Below are 23,726 nucleotides of genomic sequence, written 5' to 3'. Positions count from 1 at the left end.
GCCTCTGGACTTCTGGCAAGACCGGGGCGACTGGGGGGTTCCTGTTACTGGATGGCCGAGGGATCTGCTGCAGAGGCACACAGGGTTCCAAGAGTGAGACTTTCCCCTGGCAGGGACCCAGGGCTGAGGATGACTAGCTACAATTCCGCCTATGGAAAGTCATTATGCTGTTTTAATTTGCATGAGGATGAGAAATTTCTGGACACTGTTCTCTGCTAACAGAATCGGAAGAAAGCTGCTTCCTGTCAATCCAAGGAAGGGGGTTCTTTTGGTCTAGTTTAAAGATGCTCCTGTAGTCTCTGTCGTCACATGAAAGAAAGAAGCCAATGTGCATGGCATCCTTCCTGGCACTTGACCTGGGGGCCATGCTCTGGGGGAGCCCTGGGAGAAGCAGATGGCTCTGCTCCCGCCAGGCCACACCTGCAGGCTTTGGTGATGTTCCTGCTTCACTTCATTCTGCAAGAACAGCGATACTGAGGTAGGACGGACATTGCTTTATTTTTAACAGAAAAAACTCTTTAACAAAATAGTTTGACATAAATATTAAGAGAAATGTTAGAATTAATGCCAGGAAAGGAAAAACTTGGTTTTGGAAGAAGTGGCCACGATCCCCTCTGCCTGGATGCTGGTGCTGTGGAGGTGCCGTCCCTGCAGCCGGTCAGGCCACACTGATCAGAAGCCAGGGAGCAGCCCAGTGGTCCAGGGATCCCCTAAGGGCAGGCCACTGGGAAGGGGCAGAACCAGCGCTTGAGACAAAGTCAGCCTGTCTGAAGCTACCACAGCAGGCCGCCTCTGGAAGAAAATGAAAGAAATAAAGAAAAGCCTGTGACTCTTATCATTCCCAGAGGAGTCAGTACCAAACAGGTCCCACTCCACCTGCCTTCTGAGATCAGGGCAGGATGGGGCATGTTCTTGATGATACATCTGTAAATGACATAGTTCTACCTTCCCCACTCACTCCTAAGGCTTATGACATAGTTCTACCTTCCCCACTCACTCCTAAGAGTTATGACATAGTTCTACCTTCCCCACTCACTCCTAAGGGTTATGACATAGTTCTACCTTCCTCACTCACTCCTAAGGGTTATGACATAGTTCTACCTTCCCCACTCACTCCTAAGGGTTATGACATAGTTCTACCTTTCTCACTCACTCCTAAGGCTTATGACATAGTTCTACCTTCCCCACTCACTCCTAAGAGTTATGACATAGTTCTACCTTCCCCACTCACTCCTAAGAGTTATGACATAGTTCTACCTTCCTCACTCACTCCTAAGAGTTATGACATAGTTCTACCTTCCCCACTCACTCCTAAGAGTTATGACATAGTTCTACCTTTCCCACTCACTTCTAAGAGTTATGACATAGTTCTACCTTCCCCACTCACTCCTAAGTTATGACATAGTTCTACCTTCCCCACTCACTCCTAAGGCTTATGACATAGTTCTACCTTCCTCACTCACTCCTAAGGGTTATGACATAGTTCTACCTTCCTCACTCACTCCTAAGAGTTATGACATAGTTCTACCTTTCCCACTCACTTCTAAGAGTTATGACATAGTTCTACCTTCCCCACTCACTCCTAAGTTATGACATAGTTCTACCTTCCCCACTCACTCCTAAGGCTTATGACATAGTTCTACCTTCCTCACTCACTCCTAAGGGTTATGACATAGTTCTACCTTTCTCACTCACTCCTAAGGGTTATGACATAGTTCTACCTTCCCCACTCACTCCTAAGAGTTATGACATAGTTCTACCTTTCTCACTCACTCCTAAGAGTTATGACATAGTTCTACCTTCCCCACTCACTCCTAAGAGTTATGACATAGTTCTACCTTTCTCACTCACTCCTAAGAGTTATGACATAGTTCTACCTTCCCCACTCACTCCTAAGGGTTATGACATAGTTCTACCTTTCTCACTCACTCCTAAGAGTTATGACATAGTTCTACCTTCCCCACTCACTACTAAGAGTTATGACATAGTTCTACCTTTCTCACTCACTCCTAAGAGTTATGACATAGTTCTACCTTTCCCACTCACTTCTAAGAGTTATGACATAGTTCTACCTTCCCCACTCACTCCTAAGTTATGACATAGTTCTACCTTTCTCACTCACTCCTAAGAGTTATGACATAGTTCTACCTTCCCCACTCACTCCTAAGAGTTATGACATAGTTCTACCTTCCCCACTCACTCCTAAGAGTTATGACATAGTTCTACCTTTCCCACTCACTCCTAAGAGTTATGACATAGTTCTACCTTTCCCACTCACTCCTAAGAGTTATGACATAGTTCTACCTTTCTCACTCACTCCTAAGGGTTATGACATAGTTCTACCTTTCCCACTCACTCCTAAGTTATGACATAGTTCTACCTTTCCCACTCACTTCTAAGAGTTATGACATAGTTCTACCTTCCCCACTCACTCCTAAGAGTTATGACATAGTTCTACCTTCCCCACTCACTCCTAAGGCTTATGACGTAGTTCTACCTTTCTCACTCACTCCTAAGAGTTATGACATAGTTCTACCTTCCCCACTCACTCCTAAGAGTTATGACATAGTTCTACCTTCCCCACTCACTCCTAAGAGTTATGACATAGTTCTACCTTTCCCACTCACTCCGAAGAGTTAAGACATAGTTCTACCTTCCCCACTCACTCCTAAGGCTTATGACATAGTTCTACCTTTCTCACTCACTCCTAAGAGTTATGACATAGTTCTACCTTCCCCACTCACTCCTAAGAGTTATGACATAGTTCTACCTTCCCCACTCACTCCTAAGGCTTATGACATAGTTCTACCTTTCTCACTCACTCCTAAGAGTTATGACATAGTTCTACCTTCCCCACTCACTCCTAAGAGTTATGACATAGTTCTACCTTTCCCACTCACTCCTAAGAGTTATGACATAGTTCTACCTTCCTTATTGACTCCTAAGAGTTACACTTTACTAATGTCTCACCCACCATTCAATAAATAGAATAGAAAGTCACAGAATTCCAGAGCTAGAAAGGACACTCAAGGTTATCCAGGCCAGATGCCTGATGGAAAGGTTTCAGTGCGTTGCCTGTGGCGATGAGTCCCATCAGTGGGAGGCCTGATGGCACACTCTTTACAGTTTCCTCTGTGACAGGCAGGCACACCTGTCTGCAGAACCCGTAGCCTCTTTCCCATCCTCCCATCTGGACTGTGGACTCTCTTGACTATCCCCTCTCCACCTTCCTGAGGCCCAGGGGGAAGAAAGGGGGCAACCCCAAGCCAAAGAGGGTAAGCAGAAGGTCTCCTTTCTTACCACGAGGCTAGGAGTAGGGGACATGACAGCACGCCCTGCCCAGTCAGTCTGCCCGAAAGAGAGGCTGTGGCTCTTCCCTCCCCTGCCAGCCTGCCTTACTGGGTCAGGTGGGTTCTGCTGAATCCTCACCTAGAGGGGCCAACAGCTTTCATGTCATCAAGGTTGGCCTGGCATTTACGGCCAGGCTGGTCACGGATCTCCAGGGTGGGAAGGTGTGGATGGATGAGGCTGGGATGCCCGCTTCACCCAGTAGCTTTACTCCACATCAGTCAACACCAATATTTCCGACATTACTAAACCCTAGATCTAGACCAAGCTGTGTGCCATCATCAGCTGGATGTGGTCGGTCTGCAGACCTTGAGCATTTCTGCGGGATGTGGTCAATGAGGTCTCACCACCTGCTGCAATCACCTGGGTCAAGCTTCTCGGTCGGGGTGGACTCCAGATTCACACAGAGCTGCAGGGCCCTCCAAGTCTAGCCCACCTGACCTCGTGACAGCTCCGACTGGCCCCTCTGCCCCCAAATCTGGCCCACAGGCATCTGGCATCAGCTCCCACCCTCTCATCAGGCCTTTGCTTAAATATCACCTTGTCAAGGAGATCTCAGATTTGCTATTTCAAGCAGCAGAGAGAGTGAGGGAGGGATGGAGGGGGAACATAAGCTCTACCCACCCATTTGGACCTAAGTGCTCTGCACACGCTCACCTTCCTCTTGGGAGCACCCTCACCATGGCTCATGTGAGGAAGGCCTCTCATCCCAAAGACTCAGAAGCCCAGACCCTGCACTCTTCCCAAGCAGCCCTAATGTGCACGGCCAGCTGCAGACAGATCCGCCAAGTCAGGGCTGTAGGCCCCCAGCCCACGGGGAGCCCCCAGGACAGGCATTGAGCTCTCTACACACACACGACCTCAGGGCTGCAGTCTCTGACCTGAAAGCAGACTCTTAACCAGGGTGGAGAAGCTAACTGGAAAGCCACAGCACATGCATCACACAGGACTGCACCCCAAGGCCAGAGTCGCCTAGGGCAGCGGCAATGGCCCAAAGCACCAGGCTTCAGTCTGAGTCTACGTAAGTTTACAAAACCCCTCCCATTGTTTTTGGGTTCCCTGTTTGTGGTTTACTCCAATCAACTGCAGCACCTTCTAAGTTAAAAGCAATCTCAAATATCCTTGCACAAATGGAAGGTCTTTTGCCCAGATCTCAGTTGCCCTGCACTGGTATAAATACTCGGATGATTTAGTTAGTGACGAAGTGGAAGTGACCCTTATGTTTACACTGTAGTAGAGACCATGAAAGGATGGACTGCACGTGTTCAGTGGGGCCATCTGGAAGCTCCACATGACAGTGACTGCACGACTCGGTGGGGTTGAGTTTCTGCAGGTTAAGCTCATTCAAGGAAACATCTCAAGCAAATGTAAATCTAAATTCCTGGAGCTCTCTCAAAGATGGGCATTAAATTCATGGAGCTCTCTCTCAAGGATGGGCATTTCAAAAACATTCACCATCAATTCTCATCTACAGTCAGCAATACAGTGGACTCGCAATGTTTGCTGACTGTACAGACCCAAGAGGAAAGGACACGGTACTCAACAGATGTGCGGCCCCGCAGCCTCCATGCAGACTCCACCCGAGACAGACCCCAAAGGTCAACTGGATTCACACTGAAGACTTGCTGTGTTTTAGGGAATAATTTGAGCAGCTTGCGAAGTCTCTACACATTTTAGACGTTGTGAAAGTCACAGATATCATAAATCAAAGGCTGATTTGGATTTTAAGGGATTAAATGATAAATATTAGGTAATTTCAAAGTTTATAAAGTTTGGCTCTCAAAACTATACGGAATTTGAGCTCAAATACTGATGTGAAGTTCTCGATGTATTTAAATTCAGCACGATACATGCATTAAAACAGCATCTGTACAACATATGTAAAAAACAAAGGGTTGGGGCTATTTCCTACCTCACACTGTAATCCAAGTCACGGAAAATATCAGAATCCTATTACCTGAATGCAGCTATTGGTGAAACACTATAACCTGTCCTTTTTTCATGAGAACAATGGATCTTCCACATGTAAACTTTACAAGTACCTTCTAGCAAGTAAATTACAAAAACTGGATCTTGAGCAGAATGAACTGATAGAAAATGAATAAAGTGGCCAGATGCAGACAGGGCTAGCATCAACCATGGAAATTATTTGTCTTTATTTCACTAAATGATAAAAATTAGATGCATTGGTATATTTATCTGTTTATTTACTGGAACTATACAACCTTTCTGAAACAGAGGAAGGCAGTTATCAGCAAAAGCACAAGGTGAGAGGCAGTGCCATGCAGGTGGCCCAGCAGAGTGACCACTGGCCTTCTTACCTGGTCCCTGGTCTCTCCACGGCTGTCCCTGACTGGAACGGCTATACCCAGAGCCCGTCCTGTGGTAGCTGGAGCCCTGTCTTCCCCACCTCCCTGTGGGAACACATAGTCAGAAGATTAGTAAGTTGTCAAATGTCTTAACCCAAATGACACAGCATGTAAAGGGTGGCAAGGCAGCACCAGGTCAGCAGTATCCCCGTACTTAAATCAGAGGGAGGGTCATGAAAAAACGCAAATTTAAGGGTTGCATCCCCAGAGAACCCGGCTCAGGAGTGGAGTCACAGATCTGCGTGTTAAACCCTACCCCAGGAGAATCTGGTATTGGTGGTGAGAGGTCGGACTCTGCAAACAAAGACTTGAGCAGCCCAACCACTCCTCTTCCCTGGGGCCCCCTGGACCCATGCAGGCCATGGCGCCCATGACCAAGCCCATCCCTCTAGGGCCCTGGTTGAGGCATGGAGCAGCACTTCTGGGACTTGTGAGCTTCTCCCCATTCTCCACAAACTTCACTCACACACACTTTTCGTGCTTTAAAATTTCCATAACTTCCCAGTCCATGACACCTTGTCCTGTTTGTCTCTACTAGAAGGCCTGATTACATACAAACTCATGTGATTTTTTAAAGGTATCGTGATAGTCCATGGTGCTCCACAAAGAAGGCCCAGGCCGTCCAGCCCTGCCATGGGTACTGTCCCTGCTCCACAGGTGCACTGGAAGCATCCGCGAGGTGGGCCACACTGTGACCAGGACTCCCAGTGCGTGACCACACATGCAGTGTGCAGGCCACCTGGGGCTTTAGCTATGAGGGAAGAGTGGCCTTGCAGGGTGTGCCTCCACCAGGCTGGTCCTCCCTGGACATGCTGCGGTGTCCACGGAGGCATGGCCTTGTGCTGACATGCTGCGGTGTCCACGGAGGCGTGGCCTCGTGCTGGCATGCTGCGGTGTCCACGGAGGCGTGGCCTCGTGCTGGCATGCTGCGGTGTCCACGGAGGCGTGGCCTTGTGCTGGCATGCTGCGGTGTCCACGGAGGCGTGGCCTTGTGCTGGCATGCTGCGGTGTCCACGGAGGCGTGGCCTTGTGCTGGCATGCTGCGGTGTCCACGGAGGCGTGGCCTTGTGCTGGCATGCTGCGGTGTCCACGGAGGCGTGGCCTTGTGCTGGCACATGCTCCTGGGCTGCCCTCAGGACCAACCCCCTTGTCTGGGGCCCAGATACAGGTCCTGAACTAACAGATTTCTCATCACATCACCTCAAAAAACTTCAAAACCTCCCCAGTATGAGGTGGGTAGAAAAGCCACGACTTGCCTGGCATTCAGCAGCCTCTGTGGTCTCTAAGGCTGACTCACCTTCCCCAGTGTCCTCCCATTGTGGTGTTTTACCCCAGTCTAGCTACTGAAAGTCCCCCAAGACCCACCTTCCTGCCGTGATGTCATCCCTTTGTGACTGCTGCCCTTGTCTCTGAGCTACTGGTCTGCAGGACTGGTGACATGCTCCTCACATCTGGCCAGGGTCAGCCCGTGTGTGCTCATCTTACACACGTGGTCTCCAGCTCACCTCCAGCATGAGCACTTGTGACCACACACTGAGAATAACAGGTGACTCCAAGCTTGGAGCAGTTGTGAGCTCACAGCTGTCAGCTTGGGTCCAGAGGCCAACACACCGAGTAGCTTGGTGTTGCAGTGGCCTGGCTGTGCGGCCCGTGGAAGCAGACAACGGCAGTCAGGACTGCAGGGCCCTACCACGTCCCTACAGCCCTTCCCCAACACAGGAGGTGCAAGCTCAGCATTACCCAAGAACATGGGGCTGGGGCCAAGCGGTGGAGGCTTCAGTCTAAGTTCTGCAACGAAGAATCAGCTTGGTTTTGGGTGAGCCATGTGGGGCATAAGGTTCTTCAGCAAAATGAGGGACTGAACCATAGAACCTTAAGTTGGATTTGTGAAGAAAATTACTTTGAGAACAAAAAAGGGAACAGTTTCCAAATCACGAAATGATCTTACTAATCTATCATAGCTCTTAAAATGTAGTTCGCCTCATTAATGGAATAATACAAAAGGAAAATGTAGTTTGCCTCATTAACTTGGAATAATATGACAGGACACTGATTTCTGCCCATTTGTATGCAGACTTCATTAGAAAATAGTCAAAATTTAGTTTCTATAAAAATTGTAAGTACCACTGTACCACACTGCATTAGACTAACAGGTCATCTTTAGTGCTCAAAATAAACTTGTCCTGCAGGACCTCATGGCCTCTGAAATGAAAGAGGAGTTTGGCCTGACAACCGCCACGCCTACTGCCACCTAAGCAGCAGCGTCCAGCATCTGCAGGTCTCTCAGCCGCTTGTCATGGCTTCGCTGACAACCTCAGTCTGGAGAGGAGAGGGAACCCTGCAGGACTGTGTATGCAGTGCAGACTTTTTTTTTTTTTTTTTTGTAAAGACAGGGTCTCGCTATGTTTCTCAGGCCAGTGTCAAACTCCTGGCCTTAAGTGATTCTCCCACCTCAGCCTGCCAAAGTGCTCAGATTACAGGTGTGTGCCCAGCCACGGCGCAAACTTCTGAGGACCTACTGCCAACCAGGTAAGGAAACAGGCAATGTGAGAGAGTATCACACATTTATTTTGCAATAAATCAACTTTGTTTTGGGGGTCTCAATCTCTGTCTATCTATAGTTGGTGGCAGAAAGTCAAAAGATGGAGAAAAGGATTGGGAACAGTAGAAAAAGCAGCCTTCCCTCTCATGGTTGGACATGGCTCCACACACCCTGGCTGCTCTCCCTTCATGGGGTGCTACGCACGACACCTGGTGGGATCTGGGTGCATCTGAGGCGGCTACTCCCCCCATGACACGAAACCTCTGAGAATGGTATTTGCAAGGCTGACACCAAGTAGTTCTCCTAGAGATAGTCTGGGTGGATAAGAATCTGGGCTGAGTTCTCCTATTCCATCAAGAAAAATAATGGGACTGCAGTAGTTACAGGTGTAAACATGAACTGAAGGAGGGCATGAAAGAATAATTAAAAAGTCTCATTAACAAAATAAACTAATAAGATATCTAACTTCACTGACAGACAAAGCAGCATTCAATCAATGAGATAGATTTTTCATCTACCAAATTGGTTTTTGAAAACCAGCGGATCACGAGGTCAAGAGATTGAGACAATCCTGGCCAACATGGTGAAACCCCTTCTGTACTAAAAATACAAAAATTAGCCGGGCGTGGTGGCACAAGCCTGTAGTCCCAGCTGCTCGGGAGGCTGAGGCAAGAGAATCGCTTGAACTCGGGAGGCGGAGGTTGCAGTGAGCCGAGATCGAGCCACTGCACTCCAGCCTGGGCAACAAGAGTGAAACTCCATCTCAAAAAAACAAAAAGCAAAAAACCCCCAGACTTTTAGAAGTGTCAAGGGTACCCTGAAACGGAAACTCTTGCTCACTGCTGGAGAAGGTATTCAGTGATCATTTACCTAAAATTGATTATATTTCAATCTATGATTCCACAGACAATGATATTCTGTTTGAAGAAAATAATAATAATACACATACAAGCATTAGGAGTAATGAGAAAAAAATGGAAATACCCTCAGAGCTCCAAACAGGGGAACAAGCTATGTAGTAGTGGAAGATTCTGTGGCCGTTGTTTAAGAAGAACGGTGTTAACGCCCTAAGTTAAGTGCTAAGTGGGAAAGCAGGATGCAAACTGCATGGAGTGTACTCACAATGAGATGCAAACACAGAAAACCTTGGCAGAAGCTCGTTGTCTTTATGTGATAGAATTAAAGGCCATGTATATTTCCTTTTTAATTACTTTCTTTATACTCATTTTTTATAATATACTTTTATCATAAGAAAAAATAAACCTAAACTCTTGTCAAATAAACAAACATTACCTAAGCAGCTGTTCCACTTTGGGGAACCCTAGAAAGGAGGTTACACATGCAGAGAAAGAGTTCTTCATTATTTAATTAATGAGCGAATCCTTTCTGAGAAATTTTCCTGCTGGGACCAGAATTTAAACCACTGGGTAGAGATTTTAATACTTTTTTTTTTTTGAGATGGAGTCTCGATCTGTCACCTAGACTGGAGTGCAGTGACGTGATCTTGGCTCACTGCAACCTCCACCTCCCAGGTTCAAGTGATCCTCCTTCCTCAGCCTCCCAAGTAGCTGGGATTACAGGCGCCCGCCAACACGCCCGGTTCATTTTTGTATTTTTAGTAGAGACGGGGTTTCACCATGTGGGCCAGGCTGGTCTTGAATTCCTGACCTCAAGTGATCTGCCTGCCTCGGCCTCCCAAAGTGCTGAGATTACAGGCGTGAGCCACCGCACCCGGCCCTATCATTTAAATTCTATTCTGTTCATCCAATTATATCAGCCTCTTCTTAGAATTCATTTATCAACAAAACTCAGGAAGCAGTTAGGGTCTACGCTTGTGGGGCTTCTAGAGGCACCTGGCCCTTTCCCACCTGCGTGGTGTGAGCCCCAGTGGGCTCGGCCAGTGATGCGTCTGTTCTCCTTCATGCAGGCCTTGCAGACGACTGCCTTCAGGTTGTGGAATTTGGTGAGCCGAGATCTCTGCAAACAGACCAGATGCAAATGAGATGTGAGGGGCCAGATGTGGCAAAGTAGGGCCAGATGTGGCTGGAAGGAAGCTTAGGGGACACCCTTCCACACTGTTCCCAAGGCGAGGCAGCAATGGTGGCTGCACCCTCCTCCCAGACATGAACCGCAGCACAGTTCTCCTTCAGCATGACCACATCCCAAGAGGTTCTTCGAGAACATATTCTCCTAAATCCCCCAGAAAAAGAACACCAAGCAGCTTCTGTAGGTTAAACAATCATTTCTAAAAAAGAATCTTCAAGTCCTATTACGACAATTTAGGTGATTACCACACAATCTTACCTTAAAAAGTGTTTGGATTTAATATATCTTAATCTTTCGATTCTTAATTATAAGAACATTCAGCAGAAATGCCAACGTCAGAAAAAAAACAAAAAACAAAAAACAAAACAACATCAGCAGATCAAGAAATGGAACATGGAACATTCAACCTTTCCTTCAAGCTTCCTGTTTTATTGTTGAATATTCTATCCTATACTTTTTTTTTTTCCCAAACTAGAACGTATAATCACTTGGAACTTGGTCAAGAGATTGGATAAAGAAAGGAAAAGATCCTTGATGGAATGACTTACAGGCTACACTAAGGCTACTTTACCTTTCATTTCTACAGTCTACTTTCCAATACTTATTGGCTTATTAGAAGCACATTTCTCCTCTTGTTCTGCTTTTGCTCTCTATAAAATTCAGGCTGCTTCTAAGTTCTAAATACTTGCAGTCCTATGCCACTCTGGAATCTGTGTGTGTGTATGTGAGGAACAGTGATGGCAACACATTACCAAATGTGTTCTCTCCGCTATGAAAGCTTGGAGTGCTTTATCGTGACAGACCGGTATGCTCTCTCACGGATCACACCGCTTTTCTCATCCCTGCGGGTATTAAAACACATTCCAAATGAGCTTGGCTTGAGGCCTTACTTGGAAATCTTCCAGGAGTCATGTAGCGATTGTATTTATTAAGCTGGACAGCAGCCAGCGTCCCCAACTAAATTGGCAGCCTTTGGGGAGTATTTTCAAGTAATAAATCATAACTACACCTATCAGATTAGTCTGATATCTGTGGGGCACTTTTGCAGGGAGTATTAGTTCCTCATTAAAAAATAGGGAGAGGGGCTGGTCGCGGTGGCTCACACCTGTAATCCCAGCACTTTGGGAGGCTGAGGCAGACGGATCACTTTGAGCCCAGGAGTTCAAGACCAGCCTGGGCAACGTGGAAAAACCTCACCTCTACAGAAAATACAAAAATTAGCTGGGCATGGTGATGCGCGCCTGCAGTCCTGGCTACTCAGAAGGCTGAGGAGGGAGGATCACTTGAGCCCAGGAGGTGGAAGTTTGCAGTTAGTGGAGATTGCACCACTGCATTCCAGGCTGGGCAACAGAGCAAGACCCTGTTTCAAAAAAAAAAAGTATGTGTATTACATATATGTGTGCGTGTGTGTGTGTGAGAAATGGGGAGAGGAGTGAAAAGCACTTCAAAAATTAAAAATGTGTCAGACTGGGTGTGATACTGCTCGCCCTACCTAACCATAAGTTTGGGAGTCCTGAATCCTATTTAAGAATTCTGGAAGAAGCTACAGGTTGAGCACTCCTAATCTGAAAATCCAAAATCTAAAACTGCTATAAGTGGAAAATTCCACACCTGGTCTCATGTGATGGATGCAGTGAAAACACTGTTCCATGCACGTCATTAATAATACTGTATAAAATTACTTTCGGGCTATTGTATAAGGAGTATATGAGACATACATGAACTTTGTGTTTAGATTTGGGTCTCAGCCCCAAGATATCTCATTATGTATGTACAGCTGACCCTTGAACAACATGGGTTTGAACTGCATAGATCACTTACACTCGAATCTTCTTCTGCCTCTGCCACGCCTGAGGCAGCAAGACCCACCCCTCTTCCTCCTTCTCAGCCCACTCAATGTGAGGATGATCACCTCCATTTAATGGACAGTAAATATAGTTCTCTCTTATGATTTTCTTAATCACATTTTCTTTTCTCTAGCTCACTTACTTTATTGTAAGAATACAGTATATAATACATATATAATACAAATGATGTGTTAATTGACGGCTTATGTTATTGGTTAAGGCTTCTGGTCAACAGTAGGCTCTTTGTAGTAACGTTTTGGGGGAGTCAAAAATTATATACAGGTTTTCCACTGCAGAAGGATTTGGAGCCCTTAACCCTTGCATTGTTCAAGGATCAACTGTATATGCAAACATTCCAAAATTCCAAAAACATTCAAAATCCAAAACACTTCTGGTCCTAAGTATTTCAGATAAGGGATATTCAGCCTGTATTAGTTATGTTGATGCAGAAGCCTAATGCTTCAAATCATGTGTTCCTGGTTTAACGGAATCCTTTATTTGGAAAGCATTAATTTGAAAAATGCAACAGCCGACTTCATGTTTTTTGTGCAGCCTGGAGCTACAGGGATGTTTCTGGTGAAAGGTAGGTGTCTGTGAACTCACATTTTGTTCTAAAAGAACCTCCACAGCATAACCCTTTTCAGATTGCAAGTACTTCTGATGAAAAAGCTTCCCGTCAAATACATTCCAGGGCATGAAATCACTCGTCTTCCAGGGGAAGCCACATGCGCTGTTGACTAAAACCAGAGTGGTGAGGCCGCGGACGAGAAGGGAGCCCAGCTGCACGGCTCTGGGGTTGATGTAATCAGGCTGTGGAGACCAGAACACACACCAAAAATGTAAGACAGGAGTCACACATGCAGGAAACAGATCTCAGCTCTGCAAAGTTACTCTGCTCAGAACGGATGCTCACTCAGTAACTGGACAGCATCACCATAGCTGCATCCTCAAAGCTGAGCTTCACCAGCTCTACTGATTACAGAGGCCTTGGAAACAACCTCAGCTGACAGAAATGAGGGTGCCTCTACAGTCAGAGTGTGTCTTCATCCATCCACCCATCCATTCAAACCTCAGACACTTACTCAGGCCTGCTCCACATACAGAGGCAGTGAGCACAGTGTCTCTTGCCTCCCAGGAACCTCTAGGCCGAGAACAGAAATGGTGAAAACTGTGGTCCACTAGGAAAAAGCTCACATGATCATTCACTTCTGGGTGCATTCTTTCCTGAACAACTTTCTTCAAAGGCAAAGGGACAGACAGGGAAGCCAAAAGAGTATCATTTTAGACACTATTAAGTTTATTGTATTTAAAAATCATAATTGTTGTAATTATGAGTATTTGTTATGAAAGATCTAACTTTAAATGAACACTTATCATTTAAGAATAAAATGGCTTATGTATCTCACTAGGTTGATAGGCTGATAATCTTTGCAAATTAAGACCATACCAATATGAAATATTTCTTTTCACTGTCAAATTTACCTTGATGTCCAACATTCTGTTCTCAAACGGGGAAGCTATCCTAAGATGCTGCAGAGGGTTCCTGCATTTAGCGAGGATGCTGCATGAGATACTCTCTACCTCCTGGCTGACACTGGCCCCATGGAAAGTGATACCGATATCTAGCGAGTGTCCACATGAGTCCGTAAATGAGGTAAGTGAAACTGAATCCGTCATTGTCTGGCTTATCTATGTAGCTCAAATTAACCAAGAGTTATTTTAAATAAAACTAAAATAAATTAGGAAAAAAGTAACAGATATTTTAGCTCCTTTAGAAGTTAAGGCTTCACTTACTAAAATAGAAGAACCTTGCTCACCACTGTAAGAAACGTATCATGAACTGAGATTATCCGAGAGTTAATCTAGGTTTAATCAAAATGATTTTTGTTGCACAGCACTACTATACCCTAAAATAGTGCTGTGCGACACTTTTTATTCTACAAAATTATCCAAAACAACACTCGTTTTTAAAAAGAGCAACCATTACACACGTACACAGGGCTGAGCAGATGCTAACAGGACGTGTTAGTGAGAAGTGTATTTCCTACAGAAGCCTGAAGGTGACTGCCATGAACAGGTACTGAATTTAATCAAGTATTTTTTTAGCATCCATTATATCCTTTTTCTTATTCATTGTTATTTACAATGGTTTTCAAATGTTAAATCAATATTGCATTCCAAAAATAAACCCAACTTGGTCATCATGTATTATTGGTTTTACATATTGCTGGATTTGATTTGTTAGTATTTTGTTTGGAAGCTTTATTTTCATGAAACAGAATGGCCTAAATTTCTATTTCTTGTGATGTCTTTGTTAGATTTTTGCATCAGGATTTTGCTGGACTTAGAGAAACAGTTGGAAAGCCTTCCTTCTTCTTCTGCTCTCTGGAAGAAAGGGCGTAGCACAGCTGCTGGTTCCTCCTTCGGTGTCTGGAAAAACTCACAGGGAAGCCCTCTGATCCTGAGGTTTCCTTGTGGGCAGAGTTTTCATTTCAGATTCAATGTCTTCAGTAGACATGGAACCATTCAAGGTTTCTAGTTTTCTATTTCTTCATACTTCAGTCTTATTAGGTTGTATTTTTCAAGGAATGTGTTCATTTTACCTGAAATTTTCATGGCACGCATTTTACTTGAAGTTTCAAATGTATTGGTATAAATATTCCCTCATCTCTTTAGTCTGCATTATCTATGTATACAGATGTCCCTTTTTCATGCTGTATACTGGCAATTTGTGCTTTCTGCTTTTCTTCATCAATTTAGTAACAGGTTTATCAGTTTTATTCATCTTTTCAAATTAACTTAAAAAAAAGGACTTTATGTTTTTAGAACAGTTTTAGGTTCACAGCAAAATTGAGAGGAAGGTACAGAGATTTCCCACATACCCTCTGCTTCTCTACAGATCAGTGCCTCCACCCGCCAATCCCTGGAGGACACATTTGTTACAATCGGCAAACCCACACTGACATGTCCCTCAAGTCCACAGTTGACACGAGGGTTCACTCTTGGTGGTGTACATTCTGCGAGTTTGGACAAATGTGTAATGACCTGGAGCCACCATGAGAGCATCATCTGGAGCAGGCACACTGCCCTAAAGCCCTCCCGCCTGCCTGCTCAGCCTCCCTCCCCTGAGCCCCTGGCAATCACTCATCTTTCTACTGTTTCCATAGTTCTCCCTTTTCCAGTCTTCCTATAGCTGGAATCAGACAGTAGGCAGCTTTTTCAGATTGGCTTCTGTCACTTAGTAACATGCATTTAAGTTTCCTCCATGTCTTTTCATAGCTTGATAGACGTATTTTTAGTACTGAATAACATTCCACTGTCTGGATGGACCACAGTTCGTTCATCTAATCACCCACTGAAGGACATCTTGGCTGCTTCCAAGTTTTGGTAGTTATGAATAGGGTTGCCGAAACTTCTATGTACAGGTTGTGGTGTGGCTGCAGCAAGGGGCGCAGCTACTGGACTGTGTGTTAAGACCTGTTTAGCTTTGTTAAGAAACCACCTCATGGCCATCCAGAGTGGCTTCACCACTTTGAATTCCCACCAGCAAGGAGGGAGAACTCCTGCGAATGACATAAAAAAAACCTTTCTCTATTCTCCATTTGTTTCCTATTTCACTAGTTCCTGCTTTTACTATTTCCTTCCTACCTACCACACTCCCTGAGTTTGATTTTTTATTAATTTATAGAGATGTATACTTAGATCATTGATTTTCAGCCTTTTTTTTAAAGTATATTCATTTAATTCTACAAATTTCCTTCTCAGAACAGCTTTCAGCTTCATCCCACACATTTTTTATGGACAATATTTTCACTGTCATTCAAAATATTTTATAATGCCCACTGTGGTTTCTGCTTTTTCCCTGTGAATTATTTAGAAGTGTACTATTTTAATTTCAAATAACAGAATTTTTACTTATTGTTATTACTGATTTCTAGCTTACTGTGGACAGAAAAAAGAGGGATGCTTTCAATTGTTTGAAATTTGCTGAAGCTTGCTTTATGAGCTGTCATCTAGTCAATTCTGGTAGATTTCCCATATGCACTGGAGAAGTGTTTACTCTATAGCTTTTGGGTGCAGGATTCTATATGTCCGTTAGGATGAGTGTGTTCACTGTGTTCAAAATGTGTTCAACAATTCGAATCCATACTAACCTTCTGTCTGTTTGTCCTATCAGCTCTTGAGAGAGGCTTTGTTAAAGCTCCATAGACTTCCTCTGCAGGGGCCAGACAGTGAAGAGTTTAGGCTTCACTGGCCCCCTACAGTTTCTGTTAGATATTCTTTTTTAAACCAACCCTTTAAAAACTCCAAAAAGCATTCTTAGCTCACAGACCCACACAAAAGCAGGCCAAAGGCCAGACTTGGCCTACTGGCTACAGTTTGTGGACCCCTGTGCTCACACGTCCCACTGTGATTACAGATATGTCTGCTTCGTTTTTCAGTTGTGTCAGTTTTCATCTGATGCATCTGGAAACTGTGCATACTAACTTACAGATCTAGAGAATCCGGAAATAATCCTGGGGCGCTGACCTTTCTTCTCAAATGTCCCTTCTTCCTCTCATGGCCATTTCTACCTGAAGTCCACTTCTGATGCAGGCGCACTGGTTTCTTTGGGTTAGCAGCTGCACGGAACAGCTTTTTCTGTCCTAAAACTTTTAATTTCCCAGTGTCCCTGAGACCTTAGGTATCTGTTTGGTTGGTGATTTATTTTTTAATTTTTATTTTGAAACGACTATAGATTCACAGGAGTTGACAAAGATAGGATAGAGGGCCCCATGTATCCTTCACCAAGGGTAACATCTGACATACTACAGGGCAATATCCAAACCAGGAAGCTGGCATCAGTGCCATCCACAATCCTTATTCAGGTTCTAGGCAATTTCAAAACCTGGTGGGTTTGTGTAGCCCCTGCCACTACCATCAAGAAACAAAACTGTCTCTCCACATAAGACCTCCCTTGTGCTGTCCCAAATCCCTGGCAACTTAATCTGTTATCCATCTCTTTATCCTGTCATTTTCAGAATGTAACATAAATAGAATCATGTAATATGTGACCTTTTGGGATTGGCTTTTTTACTCAGTATAATTCCCTTGAGATCCATTCAGGTGGTTCCAAGCGTCAGCCACTCACCAAGCGCCAGCCACTCATTCCTCTTTATTGCCGAGTTGTGCTTCATGGCATGGATGCACCAGCCTGTTAAACATTCGTCCATTTAAAGACATCTGGGTTGCTTCCAACCTGTGCTACTACAAATACAGCTGCTATGAATATTCATGCACAGGTTTTTGAATGAACCTAAGTTTTCATGCCCAGGCATGTGATTGCTAGTTCAGATGGTAAGTGCATTATTAGTTTTTTAAGAAACGGCCAAACTGTTTTCCAGAGTGACCGACACCAGCCATGTAAGAGGCTAGTGTATAAGGACTGCATCCTCGCCAGAATTTGGTGGTGTCACTATTTTATTTTTAATTTTAGCTGCTCTAATCCGTGTGTAGTGCTATCTCACTGTGGTTTTAATTTGCATTTCCCTAATGGTTAATTATGTTGAACAACTTTTCATGTACTTATTTACCATCTGAATGTCTTTGGTAAAATGTCTATCTTTGGCCTACTTTCTAACTGGATTGTTTTTAATGTTGAGTTCTGAGATTCTTTATATTTTCTAGGTATAAGATCTCTGTCAGACAGGAGGTTTGCAAGTATTTTCTCCCTGGCAGTAGGTTGTCTTTTCCTTATCCTAATAGAGCGACATTTTTAATTTTGAATTTAAAATGTTGAATTAAAAATGTTTCCAATTTATCAACTTTTCCTTTTATAGATTATGCTTTTGGTATGAAGTCTAAGAACTCTTTGCCTGACCCTAGATACCAAAGATCTTCTATTTTTTTCCCAAAAGTGTAATAGTTTTATGTTTTACAGTTAATTTCATTTTCCATTTGAGTTAATTTTACAAAAGTGTGAGGCCAAAGACAAGGTCCTTTTTTTTTTTTTTTCTTTTTTTGGCTTATGGGTATCCAGTGCTCCAGTCACATTGGCTAAATAGGCTGCCTTCCTCCAATGAGTTGCTTTTGCACCTTGTCCAAATCCACTGGTGGTACTTGTGTGGGTCTATGTCTGGGTTCTCTATTCTGTTTCATTGACCTTGTGTCTGTCCCTTCACCAACACTATACTGTCTTGATTACTGCAGTTATATAGCAAGGTATGTTATCAAATACAGTGATTCTGCCCATTTTCTTTTTCTTTTTCAAGATTATTTTCGTGACTTTTAGTTTCACTGCCCTTCCATACAAATTTTAGAATAATCTTGCGCATCTACAAAAAAATACCTTGCTGGGATTTTTGCTAGCAAGTACATCAAACCTGTACATCAGTCTGGAGGGAACCCACGTCTCTGCTGAGCCTTCCAGTACATGAACACGGTATGTGTCTCCACTTCTTTGGGTTTGCTTTGATTTCTTTTATCAGTATTTTGCAATTTTTAGCATACAGATCCTGTATATGTTTATTTAATTTATGCCCAGGTAATTCATTTTTGTGAAACAATTGTTAAGTGGTACTATCTTTTAAATTTAGGTTTCCATATGTTCATTAATAGTATATAGAAATGCAAGTGATTTTTGGTATATAGGTCTTGTAGCTTGAGGCCTTGCTGAACTCTCACTAGATCTAGTTTGTTTTTGTTTGTTTTTTAAGGACAGGGTCTCACTCGGTTGCCCAGGCTGGAGTATGGTGATGTGATCATGGATCACCAGAGCCCTGACCTCTCTGGCTCAAACAATCCCTCCCAGCTCAGCTCCCTGAGTAGCTAATACATCCAGCTAATTTTTCAATTTTTTGTAGAGATGGGGGTCTTACTATGTTGCGCAGGCTGGTCTTGAACTTCTTGGTTTAGGTAATCCTCTTAATTCAGCCTCCCAAAGTGCTGGGATTACAGGCATGAGCCACCACACCCCACCTAGCTCTAGTTTTTTTTGTAGATTCCTTGGGATTTTTTATTTAGAGAATCATGTCATTTGCAAATAGAGACAGTTTTGTTTCCTTCTTTTTGTCTGCATGCTTTTTATTTCCTTTTCTTTCCTCACTGCACTAGACAGAACTTCCAGCACTATGTTGAATAAGAGTGGTGAGGACAGACATCTCTGTCCCTAATATCCCTGATATTGGAGAAAAGCAATTAGTCTTTTACTATTATGTGTTACATTGGCTGTAGGGGCTTTTGTAGATGTTCTTTATCAAGTTGAGAAAGATCTCCTCCATTATCATTTTTCTGAAAGTTTTTTTTTTTTTTAACCATGAATGGGCACTGAATTTTGTCAAATCCTTTTTCTGAATGATTCATATGATCATGTGACTTTTCTTCCTTAATCTATTAATATGGAGGGTTTCACTGACTGATTTTTAAGTACTAAACCAGCCACTTGGTCATAGTGTATAATTAATTGCTGGATTTGATTCACTCATATTTTGTTCAAGATTTTTGTACCTACATTCAAAAGGGATAATGGCCTGTAGTTTTCTATTTTGCACTATTTTTTTTTTGTCTGGTTTGGGTGTCAGGGTAATACTGGCCTCACTGGGGAATGGTCTATCTTCTTGTATTTTCTGGAAGAGAATGTAGAACTAGCATTAATTCTTCTTTAAACATATGGTAAATTACCGAGTGACACCTCTGGGCTAGAGACCTCTTTTGAGGGGAGTTTGCAAACTACGGATTCAATTTCTTTAACAGTTATGAAGTTCTTTAAAGAACCTGTTTGGTATTGGGGGGTTGTGGTCACCTGTGCTTTTCTGAGATTTGGCCCCTACATCTAAGTTGTTGAATGCATGTGTGTAGAGTTGTTTATGGTGCTTCCCTTTCTTCTTAGAAGGGTCTATAGTAATATCCCCTGCCTTATCCCTAGTAGTACTAATTTGTGTTTTCTTACTTCTTGACAGGCAAACACATCAGAGCATAAGTGGTTCCTAATGCCAAGCTGACCTCCCTTGATCTCTGTCTTCTACAGGATATTGACATGGGACTTCTTTATTACCTTTTCAGTTCACTGATACCTTCAAATAGCTTTATTTAAAAAATGTTTTGCTAGCTTTTCTATTTGTCTTCAACCAGAAAGTGAGTCCAAATTATCTCAGTCTTCTATTCCTGGAGGCAGCTCCAAAATTGTTTCTCTCTATAGCTCAATTTTGGAGTGTGACCCCCCAAGGCTCAGGCAAGAAAAGCAAAAATAAACAAGTGGGACTACCTCACATAGCAAAGCTTAGCTGAACAGCAAAGTGACCAATGAAGTAAATGAAAAGGCAGTCTATGGACTGGGAGAAAATATTTGCAAACCATGCATCTAATAAGGGGCTAACATCCAAAATATGTAAGGAACTCACACAACTCGACAGCAAAAAACAAATAACCCAATTAAAACATGGGCAAAGGACACGAATAGACATTTCTCTAAAGACAGTACACAAATGGTCAGCAGGCATACGCAAGGTGTCCGACACTAATCACCAGGGAGAAGCAAATCAAACCCACGGTGTGAAATCACCTCACCATGTCCTAGGATGACTATCGTCTAAAAAGACAAGAGATAAGTGCTGGTGAGGATGTGGAGAAAGGGGAACCCTTGTACACTGTTGGTGGGCATGTAAATTGGCACAGCCATTATAGAAAACAGTATGGAGGTTCCTCAAAAGCCTAAAAATAGAGCTACCATATGACCCAGCAATCTCACTTGTAGTTATAGACCCAAAGCAACTGAAATCAGTATGTTGATGAGATACCTGCACCCATGTTTCCTGCAGCACTCTATACAACAGCCAAAGCACAGAACCAACCTAAGCATCTATCAACTGATGAATGGATAAAGAAAACAGTACATATTCGAAATGGAATACTGTTCAGCTACTAAAAAAAAAAGAAAAAAAATCCTGTCATGTTGTAACAACACGGATGGAAGTGCAGAACACTATGTTAAGTGAAATAAGTCAGGCAAAGTCAGACAAATACTGCACAATCTCACCTGCATGTGGAATCTTGAAAACGCCAAATACATATAAACAGACGGCAGAACGGGAGTTACTGGGTGAGGGAGGAAATGGGAAGAAGTGAGTCCAAGGACAGAGTTGCAGTTATGTGGGATGAATGGGTCTGGAGAGATCTAATGCATGGCACGAGGACTAGAGTTAATAACACTCTACTGTATACCGAAAATCTGCCTAGAGGGTAGACTTTAGGTGCTTTTACCACACACACATACACAAAAGGTGATGGATAGGTTAATTTGGAAAAACAAACAAACAAAATCTCTTTTGTATTATCAATCTTTATGGCAGCCTGAGGAAGCCTACGAACACTTTCTTAGAACAACAGTTAATGTGTATAATAAAATACACGGATTTATAAAGAAATTAATTATGAGACAGTTTTCAAAATAATATAAAAATCAAATGTAAGATACAGTAATTTAACCCCCTTTTTATATAGGTTGAACACCCCATTCTAAAAATACAGAATCTGAAATACTCCCAAATCCAAAACTTTTTGAACACTGACATGACGCTGAAACAAAATACTCACTGGAGCTTTTCGGATTTCAGGTTTTTGGATTAGAGATGCTCAACTGGTAAGTATAATGAAATATTCAGAAATCTGAAACACTTCTGGTCCCAAGCACTTTGGCTAAGACATACTCAACCTGTAAAAACTGTACCTAAGACCTAGCAATGGGTCTAATAATCACAGTTTTGAGAAAATGATAAGAGTAAACAATATATGAGGACTTCTCCAACTGTAATGAAAATATCTGATTTCTATTGGTAACAAAATCACAGGTGCTGTATTATTACTGTTTTATTGACTATATCATAAAGGAAATGATAAACTTCAGTTAGAAGTTAGTGAAAACACAGGTATATTTTTTCCTGTCTCAGACCACAGATCCCCACTAAAGGACCCCTGCACTATAGCCTAGTTTTAACAGAGCCAGCAGGCTGATCCTTCCAAAAGGTGAGTTGGGTCATGTCATTCCTTCGTTCCATGTCTTGAGCAAGGTTCCCATTTCCCTCAGCATAAACGCCAGAGAAACCCCTCACCAAGGCTGCCTGGGCCCATGGCTCCGGCCCCGTCCCTTGCTCCTCCTGATTTGCCTGACACAGGCACACCCCCACCCTTGGCACTGGCCATCTACTTAGCACGCTCTTCTCACAGAAAGCTGAATAGTTAATTCTCTTATTTTTTCAAGTCTTAGCTCAAATAGCCCCTTTTTAATGTGGCCAAATAAAGGTGCAGCCCACCCTGCCCACAACCGGAAGCTCGGGGCTCAGGTGCAGCCCACCCCGCCCACAACCAGGAGCTCAGGGCTCAGCCCTGCTTCTCTGCTTTCTAGGGCACTGGCTGCCCCTTTGCAGGCCCGTCTACGCCACCGCTTCCTGGTTCTGCTTCCTGCTTCCTGTCCATTTCCCCTGCTAGAATGTGGTTCTGCTTCCTGCCTCCTGTCTCTTCCCCCTCTAGGCTGCAGATCCGACAAGGGTTGGCGTCTCTCACTGATACCCATTCTCTTCACAGAGTCTGGCATAGAATAGGCGCTCAACGTATTTTTTTACTGTTTTCAACAAACGGAATGAACTGACAAGAAACTTTACTGTGGGACATGAACGGAAACAAGTCCTCAGGGAGGGGTGATGGTGAAGAGGACTCTGAGTTACACATCCTTCTAGCGGGTGGCAGGGTGTGTGCCAGGTGTCCACAGGTCAAGCCCAAATCAAAAGCCTTGGGCTCTCAAGTCTCAAGCTCCTCTTAGAAACTGCTCGGGGTTAAAGAATCCTTATAGAAAGAAAACTTAGATCAGATGTGCTACAGCTATTCTGGGTATGCTAAAGATTAATAAATAAATAAATAAATGGCAAGAGCGTTCTTTCAACACCTGGGCTGTGATCTCTGATGGAAGTCTGCAGTGTGTGAACCAAGGAAAATTCCACAGACAGAAATGAGCATTTTATGGCAACTCTATCAGGTATTAAATATAAACTCTAAACCAAGAAACAAACATTAAGCTGGTAAAAAGGTCATAGCTTGAAAGGGCTGACTGACTCAAAACATAAACATTTCCCTTTTGGTTTCAACTTCTTCAGTTAACTGCTCTGTTCTAAGGGTTTCTCTGCCATCCAGAATGAATGGTGCTCTCCCAGGCGTCTGGGTTTAGGGACGCGTGTGCACAGCACCGAGCAGCGTGAGCCGGTGCTCTCCCAGGCATCTGGGATTAGGGACGCGTGTGCACAGCACCGAGCAGCGTGAGCCTGTGTTCTCCCAGGCATCTGGGATTAGGGACGCGTGTGCACAGCACAGAGCAGCGTGAGCCTGTGTTCTCCCAGGCGTCTGGGATTAGGGACGCGTGTGCACAGCACCGAGCAGCGTGAGCCTGTGTTCTCCCAGGCGTCTGGGTTTAGGGACGCGTGTGCACAGCACCGAGCAGCGTGAGCCTGTGCTCTCCCAGGCATCTGGGATTAGGGACGCGTGTGCACAGCACCGAGCAGCGTGAGCCTGTGTTCTCCCAGGCGTCTGGGTTTAGGGACGCGTGTGCAC

General features: G+C 43.9%; 1 protein-coding gene and 2 long non-coding RNA genes across 12 annotated transcripts in view, besides 1 other annotated feature; 1 reads left to right on the top strand and 2 right to left on the bottom strand.

Moving 5' to 3' along the window:
• The window catches only part of FAM120B (family with sequence similarity 120 member B), a 116,365-nt gene that overhangs the window by 5,819 nt on the left and 86,820 nt on the right, over positions 1-23,726 (bottom strand). For 5 of the 9 annotated variants that reach the window (NM_001286379.2, NM_001286380.2, NM_032448.3 and 2 more), the window contains 3 exons: positions 12,756-12,962; positions 10,128-10,236; positions 5,670-5,762 (listed from right to left, as the gene is read on the bottom strand). In NM_001286379.2, the coding sequence (NP_001273308.1) occupies positions 5,670-5,762; positions 10,128-10,236; positions 12,756-12,962 (409 nt within the window). Of the gene's footprint in view, positions 1-5,669; positions 5,763-10,127; positions 10,237-12,755; positions 12,963-23,726 lie in introns of those variants that run through there. The other 4 variants (XM_047419415.1, XM_011536185.4, XR_002956306.2 and 1 more) reach the window with 3 other exon arrangements.
• LOC124901475 (uncharacterized) lies at positions 480-5,663 on the bottom strand. Its single transcript, XR_007059898.1, has 2 exons — positions 2,110-5,663; positions 480-2,033 (listed from the first exon to the last, which is right to left on the bottom strand). It is a non-coding gene; the product is annotated as an uncharacterized LOC124901475 (long non-coding RNA).
• LOC124901474 (uncharacterized) lies at positions 8,111-21,102 on the top strand. 2 transcript variants are annotated; one of them, XR_007059897.1, is made up of 4 exons: positions 8,111-8,246; positions 13,670-13,806; positions 18,404-18,573; positions 20,090-21,102. It is a non-coding gene; the product is annotated as an uncharacterized LOC124901474 (long non-coding RNA). The 2 variants fall into 2 exon arrangements; XR_007059896.1 differs by having other exon boundaries at positions 8,162-8,246; positions 13,670-18,573; positions 20,090-20,307.
• Positions 13,241-14,440: an enhancer, noted in NCBI's record as "CDK7 strongly-dependent group 2 enhancer chr6:170695897-170697096 (GRCh37/hg19 assembly coordinates)". NCBI's record gives its function as "activates an origin of replication core promoter dependent on BRD2, BRD4, P300/CBP, MED14 and CDK7 cofactors, with strong dependence on CDK7, by STARR-seq in HCT116 cells {active_cell/tissue: HCT116}" and the evidence as "EXISTENCE:reporter gene assay evidence [ECO:0000049][PMID:35650434]".

This window comes from Homo sapiens, chromosome 6 (assembly GCF_000001405.40).
Source record: "Homo sapiens chromosome 6, GRCh38.p14 Primary Assembly".
NCBI lineage: Eukaryota > Metazoa > Chordata > Mammalia > Primates > Hominidae > Homo > Homo sapiens.
The sequence above is the reverse complement of the archived record's forward strand: the minus strand, read 5'-3'. Positions and strand labels throughout refer to the sequence as shown.